The 25329-nt window shown below is 40.7% G+C and overlaps 1 protein-coding gene across 1 annotated transcript in view, besides 1 other annotated feature; it reads right to left on the bottom strand.

Moving 5' to 3' along the window:
* The window catches only part of NWD2 (NACHT and WD repeat domain containing 2), a 204721-nt gene extending 179923 nt beyond the window's left edge, over positions 1–24798 (bottom strand). Inside the window, exon 1 of the mRNA NM_001144990.2 lies at positions 24323–24798. Within this exon, the coding sequence (NP_001138462.1) occupies positions 24323–24473 (151 nt within the window). The 5' untranslated portion in view covers positions 24474–24798. The remainder of the gene's footprint in view (positions 1–24322) is intronic.
* Positions 2288–2457: an enhancer, noted in NCBI's record as "experimental_78898 CRE fragment used in MPRA reporter constructs". NCBI's record gives its function as "activates a minimal promoter by MPRAs in K562 erythroleukemia cells, with activity observed for both the introgressed and non-introgressed 4:37268791 variant alleles {active_cell/tissue: K562}" and the evidence as "EXISTENCE:reporter gene assay evidence [ECO:0000049][PMID:34662402]".
* Positions 24799–25329: the final 531 nt, after the last annotated feature.

The raw sequence follows: 25329 nt of genomic DNA, 5'->3' as shown, positions 1-25329 counted from the left end.
GGAGTGGTGCTTTTATAGGATGGAGAATGACAGGTGAAGAGCACATGGGTAGATCTCTGGCTTTATTAGGGTGTGGTTACACAAATGAATACATTGTCAAAACTCAAGTTGTACACTTAAGATGCATTTCATTGTATATAAATCTTATCTCATAAAAAGATTATAAGACTGTAAACTAAGCTTCCATTTTTTTACTTTAATATTTTAGACATCAGTTTTGCATTGCTCCCTAATTAAAAGTACAACCAACCATTTAGCAGCATGAGAGGAGACAAGCATCTGGATGTCCTGAATCAAGCCAAATGGTGACCGGCGTTATTTTCCATATGTTCCATTTTTATTTTAAAAACACTTATTTGTGATCATCGCATGATTATGTGTTCTTTAATGTAAACAAAACAGGCTATCATATTTAAGTCCTACAAAACCAGTGAGATAAGCAATAGCAATAAAAATAAATCTCATAATGACAAAGAGATTCCTCAAGAACTAGGCTTAAAAATCACTGCTGTGGGAAATCTGAAGTTCCCTCTAACTGACCTTACTTGGCTAAAGATGGACTTTGATCAATTACTGGAAATAAAGCCTGGGAATTTATTTCCATGTGTCAAATAACCTTTGGCAATATTTAAATAATTTCAGATGCCGCTGGGCTATGCAGAGTGTTTGGGAGAATCCTGGCCCACTTACTTGCCTCTTATGCTTGATTTAATACATCTGCCTTGTAGCTTGTCCACCTGCTTCCAGTCCCACCCTATCAACTCATTATATATACAGCTGCCAGAATAATTTTCTTAAAACACTGATTCCTCATGCCAACAGCCTGCTTTTTTTCTCTAATTATCACAAAATAGCTTTTTCAAGGCTCTTAGCAATTGCAAAATACATCACGAATGCCAATGAATGATCTTTCTACATAAAAGTACTATATTTCAGTTTACATTTATAATTGTCTTATCAACATTCAAAGTAGGTACTGTGATAACCGCATATTAACTAGATGCTTCCTGGCAAGGCACTGTCCATGGTGCTCAGAACCCATAGATGAATACAACAGAGTCCTGGTTCTTTCTTTATTAGTTAACAATGAATTTGGGAAACAACATAAAGACATTAGACACAGAGAAGGAATAACGTAAAAGATCTATGATTAAAGGTTAATAGTCAAGCAGTAATTTCCCTAGAAGTTCATTCAGAATGGCTTCCAGTAGGAGGTAGATTTTAAACCAAAACCTTAAAAGTTCACAGGTTTTGATGAGTTGTGGACAAAGAGAATAACTCTCCAGGAGAGAGAAGATAATACGGGCTTCATTTGGGGGAATGTGTAAAAACAGGATACAAGGAAGAAATCAATGGGCTAGTAGGATGACCCCAAATTTGTAGGTAGGTTTCTGGCAAATCAGGCCCTTGAGTTCAGACTTTATCCCACAGGTGGTGAGAGTAGTTTGATGTTTCTGGGCTGAGAAGAAAGCATGAAAATTGTCTTCCAAATACAAATCTATTTTCTTTGTACAGAGGATTCCTATAGGAAGCAAGACAAGCCACAGGAGCAGGGAAGAGTAATACCAGCATGAGAAAAGTGGGTAATGTATGAGGAATCAGTCAGTACTGGAGGCAGAACACCATGGTTTCATAACACTGGGGTCAAATGGCTTTCAGAGTTATAATCGTATATCTCTTAAATGTTCCATTTCTGTGTTTTTTCCCCCTCAACAGACATGAAGTCCTTGGAGGCAGAGCCCACTTATTATTAATTGTTGTAATTGTATCAATTATTGTTTAATTATGTTGTAATAATATTAATTCCTGGCATATAGTAAGTACTCACATTTTATTTTGTCTTAAAGAACACATTAAGACCAAGAGGTACTTCAAAAACACCGGTCAAAGGATTTCTATTATTTCAAATTTACAGCCCACGACTTTCAGTAGATCTACATAGATTGTGACTAGATGCATCCGTGGGTGAGGTCCTCAATTCAAAGGCCACAGCTTTGTTATCAAAAATGTTACATTTGCTAAAGAGGCACATTTTAAAATGTAGGCATCCCTTCGCAATAGGTACTAGGGTTCTTAGAAATTCTTAAAAACCGTGGGCTCTGATGGGGTTGCTATGATCAGGGCTGGCCCTGTTTTCCTCTAATTCCTCCTCAGCACTCTCTTCTCTCATCTTGCTACCTCCCTCTTTGAAGCAGTAACATCTTATTATGAGTCACAGGCCTTAATATGCATAAATAATCATAGTAAACCACCAATAAGTAATTAAATGAATAAATGACAATGAATCTTTGCAAGATATGGAAAACTGCTATTCTGCAATGATAATTTTTAATTAGCATGAACATTAAATATTTATTATTTCTAGCCGTACAGTCATAGAAGAGGTTCCAGCACCAAAAGACCATTTGTACCTAGACTAGTTTTCTGTTTCTCCTTCTTCCCTTTATGACCACATGAGTTTTGTAATATGCTATTCTCTTTGCTATATGTCCTTTTTCTACGTAAATTCGACTCATCTTTCAAATCCCAATTTAAGCTGTAATATTTTCTCGTCATTAAACTCCATAGTGCACTTAATTTCTCTGAATTTTTAGCACCTATTTTAATTAAATTTGAGCTGCCTCGAGATATCTTTTGTGTTAAAGTATTATTTTCACCCCAATTCAACGCTTTTACTGTACTTTTACTATGAGTATTGCACAGAATAAGGTGCTGAGTGGGAGGGGTAGGGTGAAAATGAGAAAGACATAATCACTTGCTTTAAGAACTCAGTATGTCAGCAAGAAAAACAGGACAAAATAAAGGCGGTATAATTAATGATATAAGTTAAGAAAAATAGAAACAAAATATAATGGGGTTTGAGAAGTCACACTAAGTTGGTAGCGACAGTAAATAATTCCTTCCTGTTAAAAGATTATTTTCCACATTTCCTATCTCTAGCTTCAATACATGACCATCTCACCACAGTGATTGGTCTAAGGGTTGGACATGTGACCTCAGCCAAGCCAATCAGAGTCCTTCTCTCAGAATTTCTTTCAAACTCTAGCTGAAGGAGACGGTCTCTTTCTTTCTGGCTAAAAGTTGTAAAACTGTAAGCTTGAAGTAACCTGTAGCTACATCGACTACTGCCAAAGTTAGAAGAGCTGATCTGACAGAACTTGGTATGTATGCAGGGAGAAGTAAAAATAGTCCAGATCATGTTCAAGTTCCTGATCATAGCTGTTTCAAAGGCCAGATCCACCCCTGGTCTGTGTTTAAACAATTCAATTACTTGAGTTAACAGTGGCTCCAGATCTTGCTTAAATGTGTTTGTTGGGCTTCTGTCACCTGCAACCAAAATGTCTAGGCTAATTTGGGAAAATCAGAAATATTAAATGGAGAACACAGCATTTGAGATTGGCTTTGAAGGATGGATAAGAATCTGAAAAGTGAAGAGGTTACAAAAGAACTCACCAACGAAGACAGAGGGGAGGGAAAGGGCAGGACGGTAGCCAGAAGGAATGAATTTAGACATCTGGTAGGGAATGAAACTAAAGAGGAAGACTGTAGTGTTCTTAAAGAATCTTGAAATTTAGCCTGCAAATATTTTTCTTTTTTGTTTAAGGTAAGCTAAATAATGTGGTAAGCTAAATAATGGCCCCCTGAAAGATGTGCACAGCCCATCTCTGGAAGCTGCGAATGTTACCTTATATGGCAAAGGGGACTGACTCTGCAGATGTGATTAAGCTAAGGATCTTGAAATGGGGAGACTATTTTGGATTATCTGGGAGGATCCAATATAATCACAAGGGTCCTTATAAGAGGGAGGCATAAGGATCAGCATAAGAGGAGGAAATATAACCACAAAAGCAGAATCAGAGAAGGAAATGTGGCAGTGGAAGCAGAGGTCACAGAGAGAGAGAGAGATGGGAGGGATGTCATGCTACTGGCACTGAAGATGGAGGAAGGGGCCATTAGCCAAGAAATGCACCTAGAGTCTAGAAGATGCAAAAGGCAAGGAGACAGGTTCTCTTCTAATACCTCCAGAGAGAATGCAGACTTGTCAATACTTTGACTTCAGACCAGTGAAACTGAATTCGGACTTCTGACCTCCAGAACTCAAGACAATAACTTTGTGCTAGCTTGTTATAGAAGCAATAGAAAACGAATACGAATGGTTTTGTTCATTAATTTGCTTTTTAACTTTTCAGATGTCAATGTTAGTAACTATACGGTAAGCTCCTGAATGTCAATCCCATGTCTCATACTTCTGTGTGTCTTTACACAGAGACTGTGCAGTTAGATCCATTAAATCTTGTCTAATTTACTGCAGTAAATATTAGAACTATATCATTTTATATCTGGATCTTGAGTTCCTTTTTTTCTTAAAGAATGATTCAGTATTATCATTAATATCACAAAGTATTCCTTTATTTTCTTTCACCTCCCGCGCTTTTTGGGGAGTTTTTTACAATCAAGTCACAGTACAGGCTGGAGTTCAGCTTTAGATACATTTTTGATCTGATTTTAATATTGTTTCAATTTATGTCAATTTACACACTACATGGCTGGGAGATTAGTTTCCTGGCTCATTCTACCCTACAGATTCTGCAGTAAGCACCCTCTAGCATATGCTAATAGTGTAAATGTTATGGAAGAAAAGTTATGCCAGAAGCAGACTCTACATTTTACTTTTTATCTTGTACATGTCATTTTGATTAGACAATGGTATTATGTTGTGAAAATATTTAAAAAACACATATCCTTTATATAATGTTTTTTTACAACTAAAATGGAAAATTAAATGTTTACATAAACTATAACTGCATTAATAAAAAAGGGCTAGATTCTGTTTTGCTTCTGATTTTCTTACAGAATAAAGACTCATTTTTACATTTTACTTTTGAACTTTTGAAAATGTCTGGTTATATGTTAAGAGCATTTATTTTTCTTTGATTTTATGAAGCAGGGAATTTTATAGCGCTATTGCCTTAACAGCTTTCAAATACAGATTGAAATATCTGTTGGACATATGAGCACATCCAGATATAAATATATTCAACCTCCTTGGGCAAAAAATCTCCAGAACACCGAGTTTACTGGCTGCACAACAAAATGACCTATTTAGGAAAAAGGTCAGCTGGTTATGAAAAAATTAAAAAGATAAGCAAAACAACTTCAGGAGGGAGGTAGAGGAACATCATTTTACTTACAGGAGAGAAATTACCAAAATCACACATCCACCAAATGGAAAGTAAGCTCTTCTGAAATGTTAGGGATATATGAGTTTTATTCCAGCTATTTAACCTTCAGAAAGCCACTCAAATTCTTCTATTATGTCAGAAAGGACTGATTAAAAAGAAAACCATTACATCTGAATTCAGCCAGGCACTAAATTAAGCTGACAGTTATCTGTTCAAATTGGGATTGGATAGATAGACTGAAGGATTCTGGGTCCAAAACTCTCCTCTGATTGAATGGGTTGGTCAGTCCAATCTGAAATGAATGGAGCAGCTACTAACTACCTTGTTGTCCCTCTCAGAAATCTCTAACTTAACAGGCATCACATACTATCCCAGTGCTCTCTTTAATTACCATCTTATTTAAGAGATGCCCAGAAAGTATTATTTAATCTCACTATTCACAGGCATTGAATAAATGGTCTGAAATAAAGGCAATAGTCAACTGCTTCCAATGACCATCTAAAATTCTATTCCTAAAAAATCATTTCATTTCTTTTTTTAAAAAATAACTCACAGCCAGTTCTAGTCTATCAGTAACTCTTGTATTTCAATAATTTCTGTTAAAATTTATAAGGACTGAATATTCTTCTCCTCCCCTCCCTCTTCTCTTTCTGGCACATGCTCACTTTACTAAATAATTCTACTTCTACTCTAAATCATCAAAACAACAATTAGCATTAATCTATCTGTTATGTGCCAGGCAGAGTGCTAAATGCCTTCAATACATTATCTCACTAGCCCTCATAAAACCTTAGAAGTCTAACACTATTATAAGCCCCATTTCAAAGATGAGGAAACCAAGGCTTAAAGAGGTTAAGGAAGAAGTCACCCTGCTACAAAGTGGCAGAGCCCTGATACTGGACCTAGCACTTTCTGATCCAGAGCCAAGACCCAAGCAATCTTTGCTCTACTGTTGACATACTGAAAGCTTGTATAACCCATGTTCCCTCAGCTGCCAAGCCAGACTGAGCAAGGGAAAGTGATGGACAGTTCTGTCCATGCATTAATGTTCCTGGAATGAATAAAAAAAATAGTCAGTATGATTCTTGATCATCTTGGGTACCTGCTATGAAAATGAAGCTTTTGTGTCTTCCTTGTGGGCCATTACATTTTCCTGCTGCAATTACAGGTTCTAATAATATAAAATACTCTGGGATCTCAGCAGCTGTGAAAGCTGGACCATGCAGCTCCTGTTGTCCCTGGTGGGAGTGACATCACAGCGGCTGCAAAATGCCACAGGTGACATTCACCTAGGACTCTGCTGAGACTATAGCTACCTTGAGACAGATAGAGTAGCACTGGTGGTCTCGGCTCCATGAACTTCATGATGGGCTCCCAAATGGTTGTTGCCTTCATTTCCTCTCTCAAATAATTTTTAGCAGGTTTTCTAGGAGCTTTGGTAGGAGGATGTGGCAGTGAATCCACCTGGGGCTATATCAAGAAGCACCCTGTGCCATCATGTTCTAGCATCCAGAGACCAAGCTGGACTCTACCCTCTGCAACCTCAGAGAGGATTTTCTGTCTTCCCAGGCCACATATGAACAGAAAACCTTTCCCTCTTATTATGAATCTTATTCTCAAGGGTTGGACCACTTTGCCACGTGCTCCTCTATAGATCCAATACAATGTCTCTCATCCATTTCCATTTTAGTTCCGAGGTACCTGGGTAGTTGGGAAGATCAGCTTAGGTTCCACATTTCACTATCCTCCCAGAACACTGAATGAATTGCTGAATTTCTGGAGTGGGTAGGGAAACCCAGATCAGATTTAACACAGCTACTAGAAAATGTACATCCCAGTGAATGCTGTCTTACTTTTTTTCCCAAGAATACCGGCCAATCATCACGGAAATGCAAATCAAAACTACAAGGAGATATCACCTCACAACTCTTAGGATGGCTATTATCAAAAAGACAAAAGGTAGTGCTGATGAAGGTGTGGAGAAAACAGAAGCTGTATACTGTTGGTGGGAATGTAAATTGACACAGCCACCATGGAATCTTCTCTTAGAATCATTTTCTAAAATGAATTGAATCAATGAGTGAATATGCTCCTTAAATGAATAGTGAAAATCCTTATGCTTTGTGGGTAAAGTTGACTTCTATGAATTACAATGAGATAACATGCTGGCTCCACATGATCCAGCTTCCACGAGTTCCTTGATCTTATTTCTTATCATAGCTGATGCTCCATAGGCACACACAGGTACAGCTTCCTGGATGTTTGTAGATGGCATTTATTCTGGTTGGATGGTGTCTGCCACACAGGGGCATTACATTTTTTTGAAAATCACCTTTGTCTCCATCTACTTTCCAGTACAATGACCTTGCTCTTCCTTGAACACCCCAGTCATGCTCTGCCACAGGGCCTTTGCACTTGATGTTTCTTTGGGTGGAAATGTTTGTCCTCCATATATCTGGTTGGTTCTGCCCTTTACTGTTAGCATCTCTGTTCAAACAATATCTCATCAGACAGACCTTTTATGACCACCCGTTAACTGGGAGACAGAAACTGCCCATTATTCTTTCTCTTTACCTTGCTTCGTTTTTCTTCACAGTAGTTATCACCACCTTCCACAAACTTTACAAATATTTTAATTGATTTTGTATATTTACATTATGGTCCCCCCATCAGAATGTGAGCACCATGAAAGTAGGGGCTATGTGTATGTTTATTTGATAATGTAATTATGTAAACATAGTTATTTAACATAGTTAAATTCTACATCTTCACGGCTTAGAAGAGTGTCTTGCATGTAGAAGTCCCTCAGTAAATACTTGTATGATTCTTGCGAGTTTCATGGAAAATGGGTGTCTGTGAAGTAAGAAGGCATGCCTACTTTTATGGCTTACAACTTACTTGTGATAGTAATCCTTGAAAAACACTTTTTAAAATGTTTATGATAAATACGGCCTCCTAAGATGTCAACCTTGACAGACAGTTGGAAATAAACATTCTGGTTTAACATAAACAGAATACAAATGTTTCCTAACTGTATCATCATGTTACATGTCCTTCCCTCTTCTATTGAGTGGGCAACAAAGATACCGCCAGCAGATGAGCCTTTGTTTAATGCACGCCAGCTGGTTGAGCCATGCCTGATGTGTCCTTCTTCACTAGCTGAGTCCTCAGCATCTCCTAGATAAGGAGAAAATGGAGCTACTAATTATAATGGTAATTAGTCCTAGTTAATGTTTAATGAAAGCTCATTGTGCCAAGCATGTGTTAAACACTCTACAAGCTTGACCCTCAGATGAATCCCAGGATATTTCCAATTTTAGAAATAAGGAAATTGATGACTGGATAAATTAAGTAACTTGTTTAAGGTCACTGAGTCAGAAAATGGCACACAGCAAGGTCTCAAACCCACTGCTTCCAACTCTACAGTCTGAATTTTCAACCTCTACTATTCAGAAGTCCCTGTATCATGTGTTGTATGTGGCTACATAATGGATTCTATTACACAATTCAGGATGAAGATCAGATCCCTTCTATCCAAGGGTTCACACTCTGTCTGCCTTATCCCAAACTCAATGATGTTTTTTAAAAAAATCAATCTAATAGTCTCATCTGTAGGCCTAAGGAAGATGTCTTTTATGCCTATTTTACCCTACTCATACCTTCCAGTTTGAATAAGGAACAGTGGGGAAGGTATTTCTAAATCCTGGAGCTATTCCTCACAAACTTTGTTGTATTCCTTGTTCTACTATCCACATAATAAATAGTTTACATGTATGAATACACTGTAGTTTCAAAGCTGCTTTCCCCTCCATTATCATGATAAACTCTGTTACAGGAAGGACAGGTGGTATTTTTACTATTTTTCAGGCAATCGAGTAGATGCACTCACAAAGTTAGGAAGAAAGAGCTAGAGCCCACATTTTCCCTCCATAAAATAAACTGCCCAAATAACACTGTTGGGGAGTTTCAGAGAAATGGAATAATGCAATACTGCAGCTCAAAGAGGCCCCAGAGAACCTGTTTGTCAACCACCTCATTCTACAGATGAGAAAAATGAGAGTCCCAGAGAGAATGCCCATGGTCACAGAGCTACTGTATAAACCAGAAGTAGAAGCCAAGATGTTTCAGTCCATTTCATGCCCTCTTCCCCTCATGTTATCTCAAGGACAAGAACGTCACACCTCATGCACACATGACACTATTGGAAAACAAGAACGCTCTCTAGTGAAAATGCTCCAATTGCTCCCTTCTAAATGGCTGTGACACAAGCCTGATGGTACATGATTTAAATGGAACACAAAATGAAACTGCCCATAAAAATAATGTTATAGAGAGTGGCAAGGTTCCTAACTTGTCCCCAAAGTCATAATGCAGCCAGACCATAGTACAAACAGTATTCGATTTCTCATTGCTCCTGCCAGAAAGGCATGGGAATTTAAAACTTCACTGCTGTTCTCTAGTTTCACGGAAATCTCATCTCTCTTCTTCCCTCAGTGGCTCCTTCCCTGGAGGGGAGGAAGACATCCTTCTCCTCCCACTCTCTGCCTTTTCTCCTGGCACTACGGTAGAACTTGGGGAGCAACATCCATGGATTGCGGCTGGTTGGGAGCTCTGGTCTCCAGGGGTGGGAACTCTAGGGCTGCATCTCTATAACCATCCCCGTGGGGATCCTGCTGTCCTCTAGGTGAGGCCCTGTCAAGCTGGGGTAAAGTAACAGGGTAGCCTCAGGCATAAAGTGGTTGGTATATTGACAGATGGTTACATCTACTGGCAGCAACAGGGACAGGGACATGAGAGGGATGAGATGTGTAACCTAAAGTGGGCCCTGCTGTCCCAGGCCCTGCAGGAATGTCCAGGACTCAGGTCACGAGGAAGACACTTCATGCCATGACCTCCTCTTCACTGTTTCTTAGGTATTTAAAAATTCAGCAAGTATTTACTGAGCACCTATTTTGTGTATTAAATGCTAATAATACTGTACCACAATATTGGCTTATAAGGCAGTTTAAGTCTTACATATTTGGAAAAGTTTTAAGCAAACAGCAATGCTTTGCTTTTATATAGGGTTCACTGTATGTTTACTTCAGCAGAATTGAATCCACATAACTGCATAAGATATAAAACATAGAGTTGCATTTCTTTTCAACAGATGAGAAAACGGAGACTCAGGGTTCTAGAACCTGCCCCAGGTTACACAGCTCATAAACACTGGGCAGTGCATAATCTAGATTATGGTGCTAGGATTCTAACATGCTCTGGTATCAAATGAAACTCATGTCCTTGAAATCTGCACTGCCATCCCCCTTGCAGGTGCAGGTGCTAGCAGAGAGAAAATTTACACACCCATTTTGAGGTCCGTGGAGTGTTAAGAGGGGACTCCCTGTGCTTACCCACCCACTGGAGCAGTCTCCACAGCATGGGTCTGCCTTGATCCTACTTGTGATATCAGCAAAAGTGAAATCCATCTTTTCCCTTGACATAGTTAAGACTAATTTTCCAAAAGAAAAATGGTAAGGGAAAACAAAACAATTAAATAGTAAGCACAAGGGACAGAGAATGAGTTTCAAATATTTAAAAAAATCTCAGCAAAAGAACCAAAGCATTTAGCTGAGCCCCATATTTCCTCTTCTTCAGATAAGCACACTGGCTACATTCAGGAAACCAGGCTCCTTGCCTTCCTCCACCTGCTGACACTCAAGACTGTCTCACTGTCCTGGAGAGGCTGGACTGCCTCAGTTTCTAGACCTTTTCAAATTCCAAACTTAATCACAAAACTCATTTCTGTTTCAAAACTCCTGGATGTCTGGGCCTTCTCCCTCATTCCATTTTACTCTGAGATCTGCAAGCTTGAATTAACAAATAAATGATTAACACTTTCTAGATTCAAGTCATCATCCACCTATGCCCAGCCCCGTTCACTGACTCACTCAAAAGACCCATCTCCTGCAACCACCTCCAACTCCAAACATCTGCACCTCTAGGAGCACAAATGCTCTTTAGTCACTATAATGTGAGCTTTCAATAACCATTACAAGAACACAATAAGAATGATCAACTTACAGTGAAAGTTGGTTGGGTCATTCAATAATAGTTAACTACTTGGAATTAAATAGTCTTTTAATCATGCAAGAGATTTGTACCAAAATCCTTCCTAGAGAATAGTGGCTGCTCATTTTTATCCAGTGTGGTATTTCCCACATAGATGTGGGAACCACAGGCTCTTTGGAACTATGAGCAAAACTATGCAAATCTGAACTTAAGCAAACTATGCATTACGGTCTAAAAGATTAACAGGATCAGAAAAATGATATATGAACTTTTATGTAGGTTTAAAGCAACATTAAAGGAATTCTTTGAGTGAAAGAAATAATTTTTTACTATAAGAATTTAGCACATCTGACATTAAATGGTGAAAGTGCAAACTTTTTATTCTTTGAATGTCATTTTATTGAACTCTGTTGGCTACCTGTGGTTTCAAAAGAGTTGTCCTTTTTGGTAGGTAGCTTTTTGAAAAATCAGCTAGTTTCTGCTCTATTATTTAGAGATGTAACTTATTAACTTAATATTTTATAGTTTGGGCTGAATTCATGTAATTAAATCATCATTTTAAAAATCTGGTAAACAGCAGATCCCTTCTAGCTAAAAGCATATATGATCATATAGGTGGCATGATTTGAGAATAATGACCCATTTTGTGCTATAGTTTTTTTAAGAAGGAAGTTATTCAAGGAATTCTCATTTCCATAAAACTGTTATAACTCTATATTCTAGAGCTTTTAACAAATTCTGACCTATAATTTTTAAGTCCTTAGTATCTTTCAGGCATTGTTTTAGATGCCTAGGTGTAGCATTTCATTTCTTTCTCACCACTGCCTTGTGAGATAGGTATTATTGCTCCAATTTTTCAGTTGAGAAATGAGCCTAAGAAGACTAAGTATCTTACCCAAGTCTGGGAAAATCTTGGGATTCAAACCTGAATCTAACTTTCAACTTCTTCATTCTTAGGACACATTATAATGTTTGTTTTCTTTTATTAATTTATGTATTGCTGCATAACAAAACCAAATCAGTGGCTTAAAACAACAGTCATTCCTTTTAACCCTTGCACCTGCACCTTGGGCAGGTTTAGGTGGGAAGGCTGGTCTCCACACCACACGGCCACAGTCAGCTGGGGAAGCTCAACGGGGGTGAAGATCTACCTCCAAGATGGCTCATTCTCCTTGTTGGCCAGGTGGTGCTGGCTGTGGCCTCCTTTCCACAGGGTCCGTCCATGGGGCAGTGAGGTTCTAAAAATCAGTGTTTCAAAAGACAGAAAGTGGAAGTGGCCAATCTCTGAGTTCCTGGGCCCCAAATCTGGTACAGTGACACTTCTCCTATATTCTATTGGCCAAATCAGAGCCCAGATTCAAGGGGAGAAGTCATAGATCCCACCTCTTAATAAGAGAGCCCCAAATTTCTAGGGCCAGATTGCAAAACCCTAAATTTCCAGCATGTCAGTGATTTCACTAAATTGTGAAATCTCCCAATTTATGAATGCTCTTATCCTTTTTTGGGTAAAACCTCCAAATGGTAGCTTCTTAGAGGAGAGAGAGAGCTTTGGATCTTTCTTTTCCCTACATATTCTTATTGTTACTGAAATTGCTTCTGTAAATAGATTTAGACTTCTGAATTTTAAAACAAATGGGCTCGTAAAGGAATTTGTTATTTTCAAGTCTCCTTTTCAGTGTCGGTAGCAGATTATCTTTTTTTAAGCATTTGATAACTGTGGTTAACTTTCCTTATCACACAGTGCCTTCAGTAGTTTCTGAATTCCATTTTAATTAGAGTCTTCTAGAATATCATCAATCGAGTGTGATCTCTTCTGAAGCTACTCTTTGCTTAGCAACAAACTCACATGCAGGTTCCACCTCATGTAAGTAGATTTTTCAGTCTATTTAACAGTTTCAACACATTCTTCTCCCTTTAGAAAGCTGTGATTTTACCAGTTCTGTCATCTGGGCAAGGGAATTTCTCACCAGTTATTTCTTGGGAAAAATTTTCTTATTTTCCTCTGACTTGTCTTCTCTGCTTTGCCCAAATAAAACAAAACAAAAGCCTTCTCTTGGTTGTTTACACTGCTCCATTCCTCTACCCCAAGTGTCCACAGTCACATATATACTGCACACATAAGGATACAGACCAGCCCTCATTCCACAGCAGACATTACTAATCACTGCTGTTTTCCACTGAGCCTGAATATGGCCCCACAGCCTTCTCTCTAATGTATTCCAAAAGCACTGCTACTGATTCAGAAATTAGACTTACCCGACTTCCAGGATATGTCCTACTCTTTTGGGAACATTTCTTTTCCAACTATGACAATTAAGTATTTCTCATCTTTCAAATATTTTTCAAAATCCCTTGTTCTAACTGAATAACCCTTCCTGGCTTCTGCATCCATCCTCTGACACACTGGGAACCACAGCTCGTGCCACCTGTAGTGGTGGCTGGTCCCACTCTCTGGGCTCAATAGTAACCTTAACCAGGAAATGTTTAGTATTATTTCTGTCCCAACCCTCTGGGACTCAGGGTCATATCACTCAGGCTGCAGTTCTGGCCTTGGGTTCTAATCCCAAGAGCAGATTTGTACATTGTCCCAGGGCCTCAGTCCTCCCTTATGATTAGGGGCTGGGATCCTATTGTTTTTGCCAGACACTTTCTGCTACCCTATTCTCCTTCACAAGTCCCCACTTCAGAAAGGGAACTTTGTGCCCAAGATATTCAGACTCTGTACCTGCCAAAACTCCTTCAATTTTTATCTAAATAAACCCTACTCTTCTGACACTCAGATAAATTAAACACATTTCAGCCCAGGCTTTGCTCACTCACTGGGTAACCCTTCAGATTCTATCAGGCTCCTTGGTATCAGATGCTTTCCCTTTCAAAAGCTGTGCCCTCCCTTGGATCTGGACTCACTCTTCTTACATATGGCAGGAGCAGTTCCCCACTGGCCACCCCTCTACAGTAGAAGGGTGATTTTTAGGTCTGATCCTTCTCAGTCTTTCCCTTTTGGCTAAATTTGAACAGCTCATGCCACACCGGGATATCAGATACAAGCTGATTCCAATTATTCCAATCAGCCTTTGAATGTAAACATCCCTTTCACAACGGCAGTGTCTGTAGTTTTTATAGTTGTTTGTCCTGCCTCTTAGATGTGTGAGTCTGAAGAATAAAGACAGCAGCACATACTGTCATTTTTACTCCCTTTCTAACTTTCCACACCAACCAATTAGGTGTTTGCTAGTGCACAATGGGTATCTAATAAATACTGCAGTTGATGCTAAGAATAAAACCTGAAGGAGACGTTCTGCGGCAAGAAACTCTTTGAATGACACTGCATGTAATAGATCAGATTAAATATTATGAAGGATATGCTTTCAATTTTGTGGTTTCATCCGAGTGAAATTCCGTAATACTCTAGGAATAATACACCTGACATCTGTGCTCTGCTCTTTGTTTTGAGTGTGCCATTTCACAGTCTTTGAAATATTTTGGATTGAAAATGAGATTTCAAGGAAGTATTTCATTAGAAGGGGGGTATTATTCTCTTTGAATTGCATCCAAGCTGCAGTTTTTCATCTTTTTTTATTAACTTTCTATCACATTACTCTTTTTTCTAATTATACATTAACCAACACACTTTAATGTGCAGAATGAATCCTGTTTGGTTTCAACAAAAATTGCAATGGAAGCTAAAGCTTTGAAGAAGTGATGCAAGAGTGTCTTTAAGTTAATATCACATTTCCTTCTACACTGATTGCATATCTCAGTACCTACATATGCTTTTAAGCCACTGCTACAAGTTTTACATTTATTTAAATAACATGACCATTATGAGTAAAACTTAAAAAAAATTGAGTGGAACTTTAAGCTGCCTGGTTTATTATAGTTGCTTTATGTTTATAAACAGATTATTTTTAATGTCTGAATGCTGGTATTACAGATCTTCTGCAGCTGTTTTGGATAGGAATTCATCAATGCTTAGAGCTCAAAGGTGGTTGCTTTTTGACATTTTCCTACTGTATCAGTGAAATACATATTGCCAGGGATTTCTCAACAAAATGGAACTTTTAGTATTTCAACAAATGTTGATATGCCCAGCCTGATTTTTTTAAACTTTTAAGTTCAGGATACAAGTGCAGGTTTGTTACACAGGTAAACATGTGTCATGGGCGGTTGGTTGTACAGATTATTTCATTACCCAGCTATTAAGCATACTACCCATTAGTTATTTTTCCTGATCCTCTTCCTCCTCCCAGTCTCCACCCTCCAAAACGCCCCAGTGTGTGTTGTTGCCCTCTATGTGTCCACTTGTTCTTATCATTTAGCTCCCATTTATAAGTTAGAACATGCGGTATTTGGTTTTCTGTTACTGTGTTAGTTTGCTAAGGATGGATAAAAAAAAGAAGAACCTTAGGCTTACTTTATCAAACCTAATTACTTCCTGTTACTCTGTAGAATCATCATTTGCCATTTTAAAAAGTGCTTGTGAGTTTTTACTTTTTTAATTTGCCCATTATCTATTGCTGCATATCAATCTACTTCAAAACTTAGTGGCTTTAAACAACTTATTTATAGAGAAATATGTGACTTTTCCCAAGGCCGTGCTAAGAACTTACCTTACGGATGTATTCTGATACTGAATATCTGAAACATGTGTACAGATACATGTATATCATTCCTGCTATTATCTTTAGTAGCTTGTACCTCATTGTCTTCTTTATATGAGGTAATGGGCTGTGATGTAACGAGGACCTCCTGGACTCCCTTTACCTCATTTAACCTTCCCAGAACTGGAAAGCAAAGGAAGAAGAAACCAGACAATCTCTGCCCATCTGCTCACTTCTATCCCTTGGGACATGACCTGTTCCGGGGAGCATGGCTTCATTCTCTCCTCCAGGCTCCTTGTTTCTGGAGCAGGCCACAGGATGGAGGGTCTCTGGAGGTCCACCACCTCCAGTGAGTGGCTAGAAGAATATCTAATTCTGCTATTTAGTATTAGGATGCATGAAGGCATTCTCCATTATCTTTATCAGGAAAAATGGTGATATTTTGATCTTCTATCTGCAAACTCTTTAGTCTTTTTAACAGAAACTGATTTTCAGTTAGTTCAGAACTTGAGAGGGGAAGAAGGGTGCTATTTACTGAGTTATTCTCAGTTTTCAATAACACATAGTAATGATGACAATAATTATTAACACTTGTTGAGGACTTACTATCATACTTGCAGTGCCCCTGGATTATGCTCTTGTTATCTCACATAATCTAATTATAACAAAGGGAGGTCAAAGAAACTGCAAAACATAAGGGGGGGGGGTTGTGGTAATTTTTAAAGTCAGCTACTATTAATTCCTCCTTTCCCTGTATGCACATACTTCTTCTCACATTAATAAATGGGGTCTAATTCTCCCCACCTTGAATCTAGACTAGACTGATAACTTGCACTGATGACAGAATGCAGCAAAATAAACATTCTGGGACTTCCAAGCCCAGGCCTTAAGAGGATGGGCAGCTTCCATTTCCTTTCTCTGAGGAAGCCAATCCCCTATAAGGAATCTTGGGCTGGACTCCTGAAAGATGAGCGAAAAGCTGGAGATGGAGAGAATACCCTCATGGAGGAGAACTGGGTGCCAGACATGTAAATGAAGCCTGCTGGGACCTTCCAGCCCAGCCAAGTCTAGGCTTAGCTGAAAGAAGCTGAATGAGTAACTCAATTCAATACCCCATGGAACAGAAGAGCCACCCAGCCAAGCCTTGCCCAAAATACCAACCACAGAACTGTGAGAAAGAAATCATTGTTGTTTTAAGCCACTCAGGTTTGGGATGAGTAGATACATAGCAATAGATAACTGAAAGAGAAATAAAATAGAAACCTTCACACACCTTTTCAAATAGCAAATGGTATCATTGCTCTGATATACACTGCTTACAGAAGAATTTTAAAAGATCCATAAGCTGATTTTTTTAAACTGCAAAGTCATGTATATAGTTTACCTTTATAGTCCAAGTCATCCTTTCTTCCAAATGTCATTTTAAATGAGCCACCTTCAAGAGCAAACAATAATATCACCTCAAGACATCAGTTCCACTTCTATTCAAAATGATAAAAGCTTTCTGCTGAATGATAAAGACTATTTCTTTCTATTCCCTGTGGAGATCTCATCATCACTCTGCCTCATATTTGATTATCATGCAGAATAGTTTCCATACCCTGGCTCTATTCATTATCGGGAAAGCCAAACTAACCCCTCATTCTGACCCCCTCCACACCTCGAGTTGGTTTACATAACCCTCCTTGGTGCTCCTTTAATGCTCCGTTCATATCATTAGCACAGTGCTCGTCACATATGTATTATTTATGTAAATACCCTAAGAGCAGAGACCTAGTCTGTTTTGTTCACTTTTCTGTATGCTAAGCACCAGAACAGCACTCCATATAGAGTAGTTGCTTCGTGAATATTTACTGCTTGAGTGAGTGAATGCATCTGCTTCCCCCTGGCTAGATACTATCTCTTGGTGTTGATTATTCATTATCTCTTCCCTCCATTATCTATCTCCTTAGTACTGTAGGGGCTGAAAGCCTGAAGTTCCTAGACTTGCTTGTTGCTAGGGTCCAAATGCAATTCTGGTTCTACCAAAGGGATGCACCTGCATAAGATCTGGAGAACAAAGTTCCTTCACCAGGAGTCATAGTGGCTAACATGCAGGTTTCAACAAATGTGTTTCTGCAGAGGCTGAGCAGCTACCCAGTACTCAGGGGCAGCTGTGATACTGGCAATGGCTTCTACAGTTTTCTGCCCTCTGGGTGGCAGCTTTGACAATATGAACTAAACACCCAGTGGTACCCCTGACTTTTGCTCCTCCAACCTCTATAATGATTTTTGGAAGCACCTAATTCCATGAAAGATCTGGGGTAGTTTGTATTTTACTACAGTCATGTGCCACATAATGACATACCAGTTAAGAATAAACCACGTATATAACAGTGGTCCCATAAGATTATAATAGTGTATTTTTACAGTACCTTTATGATGTTTATTTATTGAGATGGAGTCTCTGTCACCTAGGCTGGAGTGCAGTGGTGTGATCTCAGCTCACTGCTGCCTCTGCCTCCCAGGCTCAAGCATTTCTCCTGCCTCAGCCTCCCAAGTAGCTGGGATTACAGGCGCCCACCACCATGCTCAGCTAATTTTTGTATTTTTAGTAGAGACGGGGTTTCACCATGCTGGCCAGGCTGGTCTCGAATTCCTGACCTCAAGTGATCCGCCCACTCACCTTGGTATCCCAAAGTGCTGGGATTATAGGCGTGAGCCACTGCATCCAGCCAACGGTACCTTTACTATGTTTAGGTATGTCTAGATACACAAATACTTACCCTTCTGTTACAATTGCCTATTCAGTATTCAGTACAATAACATGCTATACAGGTTTGTAGACTAGGAGCAGTAGGCTTTACCATATGACCTACGTGTATAGTAAACGGTATCATCTAGGTTGGTGTGAGTACACTACGATGTTCATACAATGACAAAATTGACTAAGGACACATTTCCCAGAACATATCCCTGTCATTAAGCAATGCATGACTGTAGTGAGTTCTAATTTATATGCCTCTATAGACTGCATTCCTTGAGGGCAGGATATATTTATATTTGCTTAAACATGCCTGCACAGTGTCTGGATCATGGTAGAATGTAATAAAGATAATAATGATAAAAATAGCAAACATGTATTTAATATTTACTACATGCCCAGCACTGTCCTAAGTGCCTCACATCTATTAGCTTATGTAATCTACTCAATAACTCTGTGAGACAGGTGATATCATTGACTTCTTTTACAAATTGGGAAACTCAAAACAAGTTAAGCAACTTGCTCAAGAAATCACAGCATTAAATTGTGGATTGAGGATTTAAATGCAGGAAACCTGGCTCCCAAGTCTAGCTATAAATATCTGTATCTAATAATTTCTCCACTTGAATAACGTCTGCTTCAGGACTTAGAAGATACAACCACTAAAATTTTAGAACTCATTTACTCTAAATGTCCTATGTGCATTTATCATAATATAGCAACTCAGTATATTCCCCCTGACAACTTAGGTTTTAAAGATGTTCTTGTATCCAAATGGCTGTGTGTGTGTGTGTGTGTGTGTGTGTATACACACACATATATGCTTTTTGCTGTATTTTTTCCACTACTCATAAAGACAATAAAAAGGGCGCCACAGAAATAATCAGGATAGTAGGAAAAGTAAGAAGAATAATGATGAAGAATACTGATAGGTTTCACGTGAATTTCTTAATGCAGATATGTCTGCCTTTTGTGTGGGGAAGCAAGTTCAAGCAATTGAGCACTAGTTGTAGCAAATGAACCCATGTACACATATAAAGGGAAAGCATGTCTCTTGCTGTTACTTCCACTGTAACGGAGAACAAACCTTCCTATGGAGACCCCAAAGGCATGAAGAGTCTGGGAAGATGCAAAGCCATGCAGACAAAAGAAAACCAAGTAGTAATGGTATGAACACCTGATCAACACTGTGGACAAGAGTTCATGACTCTCAATAATGACCAGCACAGAAATCTGAGTGGACAGAAAAATGCATTAAGTGTTAAAATATATTTTTCTCCACTTCAGATATCTTTTTGCATGCAGAGGGCAATGCACTAGTGTAGGATGCTGTCAGTTACTCCTTAGGGGAGAAGTATCTTAATCTTATGGCTGCAGTTGGAAGGAAAATCTGACCACAATAGCCCAGCCTCTGCTTTCTTTCTCGTAAAATTGCCATTCTCCTCCACTCCTCCATGTGTTAAGGTTTAAAGGGATCTACTCTGTCCACGAGCCAGGGAGAGTGGTCTGTGCTCTGCCCACTGCTGACAATGACTGGGAGTAAAGCCTGTCTAATTCTTGGGTTCAATATTGGGAAACTCCCTTGCCCAGAGTTAAAACCATATTCTCCAACAAAAGTCTGTATCTTTTACCTGCAATTCCAAAAATCTCCAAAGCTTTGAACATAAAAGGTTTTCCCCAATCCATCTGGTAGCAAAACTTGAAGTAACCTGAGTCCTTGATGGCCAAACCTGACCTTGACTGACATGAAGCTACTTAAAATCTGTATCACTCCTCTTGGAGCTTTGCTATCTGATACAACAGCCACATGTGTCTATTTAAATTCAAATCCATTAAAATTGTATAAAATTAAAAATTCATATTCTTAGTCATACTAGCCACATTTCAAATGCTCAATAGCCCTATGTGGCTAGTGTTACCATATCAGATAGACATTTCCAGCATCACAGAAAGTTCTGTATAACACTGACTTAGAGTGAACTCATGTTTCCTTATACACCTATTCATATCCGACATGGGTTGTTACCCCAGAACCCACATATTAGAGCGTAAGTATTTTTCCTCAAAATCTGAAAAAAGAGATTCCAAAATCACATCTGGCCCAGATGATCACAGATAATGGATTGTGGACCTGCACTGTTTTCATCAGTAATAAAAGTGATATTTTGGTCTTCCTTCTGTGTTAAGACTGTACCTTCCTATAAACTGATAAAGAATCAAGACAGAGAAGAGGAGGGCCTTTACACTCTAATAACAGGGAGAGAATCTCGCAGGTTCCTTTCATCTCCATATGCATGGACTATTTAGGCTAATCACAGTAAAGGATTTTATGTGGGTTTTAAAATCATCTTTCCAAGGAGCTATAAGTGCTGTTCTGGCAGAAGTACAGTAGCTAAATGACTAGAAAACTTCCAAGGATTGATGAAGATGTCACAGATGGAATTTCTATGTTGGGTGGGAGGTGGAACTAGATGAAGTCCAAGGCCCATCCACTTAAAAAAATCTGGGATAATGCTATCACCTCCCCCACATGGGTCCTTCTCCAGCATCTTCCATGAGGTGGGGACTAGTCAGAGGCAGATACACTTCTGGACAAGAATGTGTCAATTAGAGTCCAGCACATTTTGAAATTTCCTTGAATGCCTCGGACTACCTCTTGGTGGGAGCAAAGTGGGTCAGCATAGCCATGTTCCCTGCCAGCTGTTCATACTCTTTAAGTCTGACAGCCAGAAGATGCTGGACAGTGCTTATCCCCCTATCTGTATTGTCTTGCCCACGTGGTGTGAGATATTTCACAGAGATCTGTCAAGAGCCTAGGCTGGACAAGAGAATATCAAGTGTTGTCAGGGTCCTATAGGCTCTACTCTTTCACTCTGCTATATGAATTCTGGCAAGTGGTATAATTTGATACAGCCTCAGTAATCTCATCCGTAGAATAGATGGAACACCCCTGGTCCACTACCCTCAGAGGGTTGTTTGAGGATAGAAAACAAAATGAAAATATTGAATGAACTAATATATGGGAAAGTAATTTTTTCATTCTAAAGAAATTCTACGGTTAGGTGCGGTGGCTCACACCTGTAATCCCAGCACTTTGGGAGGCTGAGGCAGGTGGATCACCTGAGGTCAGGAGTTTGAGACCAGCCTGGCTAACATGACGAAACCCCGTTGCTACTAAAAGTACAAAAGTTAGCCGGGCGTAGTGGTGGGCACCTGTAATCCCAGCTACTCTGGAGGCTGAGGCAGGAGAATAGCTTGGAGCCGGGAGGTGGAGGTTGCAGTGAGCCGAGATTGCGCCACTGCACTCCAGCCTGGGTGACAAGAGCGAGACTCTGTCTCAAAAAAAAAAAAATTCTATTCATTCTATTATCTATTTCATTCTATTATCTTCGTTACCGATGGGGAAATTCCATGCAAGCCTTGTAAAGCACTACCTATTAAAACAATACTCCAAGCAAAATCCTTGCTGGGTTCTGAGTATTGCTGTGAGTTCAACACAAAGCAGCTTTTATTTAGAACATAAATTGGATTTCCGCTAGTAAAGGAAAGCATGAGATAATGTTCTTTGTCTTAATTTGACAGTAGAGAGGCTCTTCAGTATTGGCCAAGAATCTAATATTGGATCATACCAAAACACAGGCATTTGCTTTCTAAATTGCATCCATAAAGATCCCACGGTCAAGTGCTGCCTCTGACAGAGCATTTACCAAGATTTTAAGGCTTCACGTTCAGATCATTAAAAATGCCCATCTGTCTTTTTTATTTAATATGCCATCCGCTCTCCAATTTGGATAAAATCTGAGATCCTGCCCCTATTGAAACTTCCCAGGTAAGCTTCACATTTCTGTTTTGTTTGTTAAGATCCTTGTGGAAGCTGTCCAGCTCAAACCGTAGCCAAGGGGCATGACTGGCTCCTCCCTCCTGTTTGCTTTCCTAGGGTTAATCTGTGCTAAAGCTTTTATTCGAAGAAACTAGGAAATTTGAAGAATCATATGGACAGGCTTAAAAAAATGACATTAACCTTGAGTACTAACTCAATATTAAGCTGATAGTATAAATTCAGTATCGTTTTTATCTTAGAAATTGCAAATCTAGACAGCAAGAAAAAAATTACACATATTAGCAGAATTCTTATTGTATTTTAGAAGCCACAAGTTTAAAGAAAAAGAGTGATTTAGCTAGCTTCACATCAGCAGATTGAAACACATTTCACATGACTTTTTTAAAAGCTCAGAACTAAAAATGTCTAACATTTAAACATTTTCTAACATAATTCTCTCACTTAAAAATGTTCTAGCAATATTTTAAAGAAGTAACCCTCAACCCTTAAGTCGCAGATTGCCTTAAATAGGCTGAATATCTCCATTTTTTTTCTTTAAATCCAGATATAGGTACAAATCCTAGACGACATCTTTGAGATACAATGATTTTTTGAGTGTACCATATCATCCTAAAAGCCTCCTTAAGTTCTTTGAAAGTGAACTGTAAACTGATAAAAGGACAGTCGTGCCGTCCCCCAAGAGTATATCGTCTTTCTAATACTAATTAGTGCATGTTATCGTTTTGATTCTCTCCCCAACTCCTTCTCATAATGTAAGCTTTACCTCAGACTTCTGCTAGTGCTATTTTTTCCGAAACGGTAATTTTCTAGAAAGTTACTTTTGTTGGTCTTCTCCGAAAGCTTTTTCAAGAAACCAGAACCTTGGGTTTTCAAATGAGAATTATATCCAATGATCGTTTGAATGTGGACTTTTCTCCTCGACTCTTTTCGACTCAAGGCTTGTTAGAGTGCAGAAAACGTTAATTCTCAAATCTTTCACCTCTGTCAGTCTCCCATGGACTCATAGCCAAACATTTTTTTTCCTAGAAAAGAGCAATTCCTGCAGTTTTATCCTGCCCCAGTCAAATACATCTTTCCTTCCCCAACTCCCCAATTACTGGGAATGAAATCTAACGTTGAGGACTAAGGACTGGAAGGTAGTGATGAGCCAGGATTTGACCGCCCAGCGTTCAACCTCTGTGGTTGTGAATGCAACAAGAAATCAACAAGTTTTCATGGAGTGCCTACCAGGTGCCTTAAGCAGGAACATGACTGAGTAGGCCAAGTTTTAGATACAGAAGACCAAGCCCTGTGACCCAACTGAGATGAGCCCATCCTGCGCGCCCCACCGCGAAGCCTGTTCCGGGACCCACAGAGGGTGTCCCCCTCGACCTCCGGTTCACAAAAGTCTGCTTGGCCTCTGCAAAGGGCACCATCGCACCTGCAGGAGGAGAGTCTCAAGGAACTCACCTCGCCTCAGCTGGAAAAAGTGGCCAAGGAGGTAGCCCCGCACTCAGGAACCCGCCTCGGGGAGGAGAGCTACTGTTTGTGTTTGCGGTCATCTCGGAGAAGAAACCGCTTTAAAAAAAAAAAAAAGGGCGGGGGACAGGAGGTGGTGGTGGCGGCGGCGGCAGAATGGAGCTTCCAGAAGGGCCGGCTAATGCCTTGGATGTTTCTTGGATTGACCCAGGGGAATAACCCGGGGTGGAGAATGGGTGTCCTAATAGAAGTGTGCAGGCAAAACCGGCCAGCGAGGGGAGAAAAAAAGTGATTCAAATTAAATTCCCACGCGCTCAGGGCGGCCACGGCTTTAGCTGGAGGAAGGGAGCGCAGGGCGCACCGGGCTGTGGGGCGGACACACACTCTCCAGCTCCCGCAGCGCTGACGGACAGAAGGACGGACGGGCAAACCCGAGCGAGGGACGTACCTTCAGGGTTGGCGCTGATGAAGACCCGGACGCTGCGGCCGGCGGGCACGAGGTGAGAGGGCAGGGCCGTGAGGTTCCCAGAGAAAGCCGCCCGCCGGAGCGCAGAGTCTCGGGGACAGGGCAGCTTGGTGCCCGCGCCGGCCGGCCACATCGCCCTCTGGGAGGAACAGCCACTGCCGCCGCCGCCACCTCCTGCTCCTCGGGTTCCTGCCCGCAGCTCCACGGAACGGCTCAGCAGGCGGTCGATCTCAGCAGGCGGCGCGGCTCAGAGCCGCTCCGAGCCCGAAGCGCCTTTGGCGAGCTCCGTGGCGCACAGCACCCGCCGGCGAGGAGAAGCCATACGGACCCTCGGGCTCCTGTCGCGGCGGTCTCCTGCCCTTCTGGGCCTCCGCCTTCGCCCGCTGCTAGGGCTCCGAGCAGCAGCCAGCTGGAGCGGGAGGTCAGCGTGGCGGCGGCTACGCGCGCAGCGCCCGTTTGCGCCGGGAAGCGCCGGCGGCCATCTCCCCGCCCGCGCCCGCCGTGGGAGGAGGGGGCCGCCAGGCGGCAGGGACCGTGCGAGCGAGGAGAGCAGATGAAACTTTATGTACCAGAAGGCGTCCCGACTTTATCCGAGCCCGCCTCTCTCGGGCGCAGAAATAACTTGCGGCTTAGAGGACGGCCGGGGCTTGGGCGCGGGGGCCTCGGGGGTGCGCAGGAGCCTCCTGGACTCCTCTGTGGACAGCCGAGGGCTCCTGTCTGCCTCCGTGGTGGAGGACAAGAAATCAATTAGCCTGAGATTTCTACTACGCCCCCTCCAACTCTCCTAAAGGTCACACAAGCCCTGAGAATTTTCGGGAATCCACACGCTCGGGCGTCTGTGCGTCTCTGCCCAAGTGCAGGGAATCCAGCCTCAAAGTTCGACGCACACAACCCCAAGCCAGACCCGGAGAGTTTAAAGCATCAAGTCTCCAGATTGTCTCTGGCGTCCTGGAGGGACGATCGCTTCATCCCTATCTCTCCTGGCGCAG

The sequence above is a fragment of the Homo sapiens genome, chromosome 4, assembly GCF_000001405.40.
Source record: "Homo sapiens chromosome 4, GRCh38.p14 Primary Assembly".
In the NCBI taxonomy this organism is placed as follows: Eukaryota; Metazoa; Chordata; class Mammalia; order Primates; family Hominidae; genus Homo; species Homo sapiens.
This window is presented reverse-complemented; position numbering and strand designations above follow the sequence as displayed.